Below are 2,649 nucleotides of genomic sequence, written 5' to 3'. Positions count from 1 at the left end.
AGGAGGCAGGGAGGTTGGCCTAAACCGCCCGTGGCTGGTGAGCAGGGTCCCCGGACAGGGCCGGAGGCAGAACACCATTTGATTGTGGAGATAGGGGACCCGCCTTGGATCTGGAGGGCTGGGCTGGCCCAAAGCCAGCCACTCCCTGAGTCCTGGAGTGGCTCTTCTGAGTCTGGGGGCAGCAGAGATCTTCAGCCAGGACCCAAGAAGGAGTTGTCAGAGAGGACCCTGAGGGGCCCCATAAGGGATCCTAGAGATAGCCTGGTGGCTTTGTAGCAGGACGAGCTGCAGTCAAAACTCCTCAAACACCGACTTAAAGAAGGAAGGGGTTTATTCGGCCGGGGGGCATCGGCAAGACTCCTGTCTCAAGAGCCGAGCTCCCAGAGTGAGCAATTCCTGTCCCTTTTCAGGGCTCACAACTCTAAGGGGGTGCATGTGAGAGGGTCGTGATTGATTGAGCAAGCAGGGGGTACGTGACTGGGGGCTGCATGCACCGATCATTAGATTGGAACAAAACAGGACAGGGATTTTCAAAGTGCATTTCTATAAAATGTCTGTAATCTATAGATTACATAACCGATTAGGTCAGGGCTCGATCTTTAACTACCAGGCCCAGGGTGTGGCGCCGGGCTGTCTGCTTGTGGATTTCATTTCTGCCTTTTAATTTTTACTTTTTCTTTCTTTGGAAGCAGAAACTGGGCATAAGACAATATGAGGGGTGGTGTCCTCCCTTAGCCTGAGGACACACTCTGGGTCCTACTCTATGAGAGTTCAAAAACCTCTCATATTAGTATTTGGATTTAAAAAATTTATTTAATATTGGGAGGCTGAGGTGGATGGATCACCAGCCTGGCCAACATGGTGAAACCCTGTCTCTATTAAAAATACAAAAATTAGCTGGGCATGGTGGTGGGCACCTGTAGTCCCAGCTACTTGGGAGGCTGAGGCAGGAGAATTGCTTGAACCCAGGAGGCAGAGGTTGCAGTGAGTCCAGATCGCACCATCGTACTCCAGCCTGGGCGACAGAGCAAGACTCTGTCTCGAAAAAAAAAAAAAATTATTTAGTAGTTTTGAATAGATGAATTATATAATTTTTTTTTTTTTTTTGAGACAGGTTCTGGCTCTGTCACCCAGGCTGGAGTGCAGTGGCACAATCGCAGCTCACTGAAGCCTCAACCACCAGACTTCAAGAATCCTCCCACCTCAGCCTCCCAAGTAGCTGGGGCCACAGGCATACACCATCATGTTTGGCTAATTTGTTTTTACTTTTTGTAGAGATGGGGTCTCAAGTCACCCCAACCACCTGACCCTGGATGCCCAGGCTGGTCTCAAACTCCTGGACTCAAGTGAGTCTCCTACCTCAGCCTCCCACCTCCCAAAGTGTTGGGATTGCAGGCGTGAGCCACTGCGCTTAGCTGGTATAATATTTAAAAAGATGTGTATATATACACACACACACACACACACTCTCACACACACACACACATTAGTCTCTCTAGCTCCAACCTGTCTCCCAATGTCTATGTGTACCTCCAGAGACATCTACAAGTAACTCCAAACCAGAGCTCAGCAGGTCAGAATTGTAATCCATATCCACCAATAGACTGACAAGCCCTGGGGCCTGGGACCAGGCGGTGGCCTCCAGGGCCCCTAGGCATCACCCAAAGTGTGGGCCATGTTTCCCTGGGCCCTGCCTGCAGGGCCATTGGGTTATAAAGCTTGGGGAGCCAGCGCCTTTCCTGGCTCCTGAAGCCATCCCAGACAGGGCACCCCAGCTCCCATAGGAGCAGTCACCCTACCAGTGCTGGAGCAGATCAGGACCCGATTTTGCCAGCACTCTGAGGCCACACCTTGCATGCAGGTGGCATGGGAGCAGCACTCTTGTTACCAGAGGTGCCTAAGCCATTGCAGGGAGGCAGTGGTGGAAATTTGAGCTGTCAGGGGATGAAAGAGGTGAGTTAGGGTCTGGAGAGATGAGTTAGTGGGCGCACACTTGATGTGTCACTAGAAATGGAGGGCGTATTTTCCCAGCTGTTGTGAGGGCTCTCAGTGTCAGCCCCTATGGTGCTGGCCTCACCTGTTGTCACCTTTCCTCCAAGAGGCCAGCATTCAATGACTGACGGATGTGGCTATAAAGAGCTGACACCCTGCCCCAGCTGAGGCTTTGGGTATACACCGAAGCTCACTTCTCCCTCTGCCCAGCCCTGCTTCCTTCCCTTCTACCCACAAGTACTGACCACAAGAGGCTCCCTGTTGAATGCCCTGCACACACTCCCCTATCTTGGAGTCTGCTACTCAGGAGTGGGGTGATCTAGCGGCTGACCAGAAAATCACTGATCTCTTTGTCACCTCTGCTGAGGTTTCCATCTTGCAGCCATTCACCCAACAAACTTTTATTGACCACCCACCATGCCATAGGTGGGTGCGATAGGAGCCAAGGACACACATGGTGGGCACTGCGCCTGTGCTCATGATGCTGCTGAGTTCGTTCAGGAAATCAGCATGGAAACAGATCAGCCCAGCTGTGTAGTGAGGGTAGCAATGGGAGAGGTGTCCCTGGAGGAGGGTCAGGGTAGGGACAACCAGGGAAGGCTTCTGGAGGAGGGGACCCCTGACCTGATTCTTAGAGAATAAGTTGCTCTTCCTGGA

General features: G+C 52.1%; 1 annotated feature.

Annotated features, from left to right (window-relative positions):
• Positions 2,170–2,219: an enhancer, noted in NCBI's record as "active region_10854". NCBI's record gives its function as "activates an Ori minimal core promoter by ATAC-STARR-seq in GM12878 lymphoblastoid cells {active_cell/tissue: GM12878}" and the evidence as "EXISTENCE:reporter gene assay evidence [ECO:0000049][PMID:35858748]".

This window comes from Homo sapiens, chromosome 16 (assembly GCF_000001405.40).
Source record: "Homo sapiens chromosome 16, GRCh38.p14 Primary Assembly".
NCBI classification, from domain to species: domain Eukaryota; kingdom Metazoa; phylum Chordata; class Mammalia; order Primates; family Hominidae; genus Homo; species Homo sapiens.
Note: the sequence above shows the minus strand (reverse complement) of the source record. Positions and strands in the feature narration are given on the sequence as shown.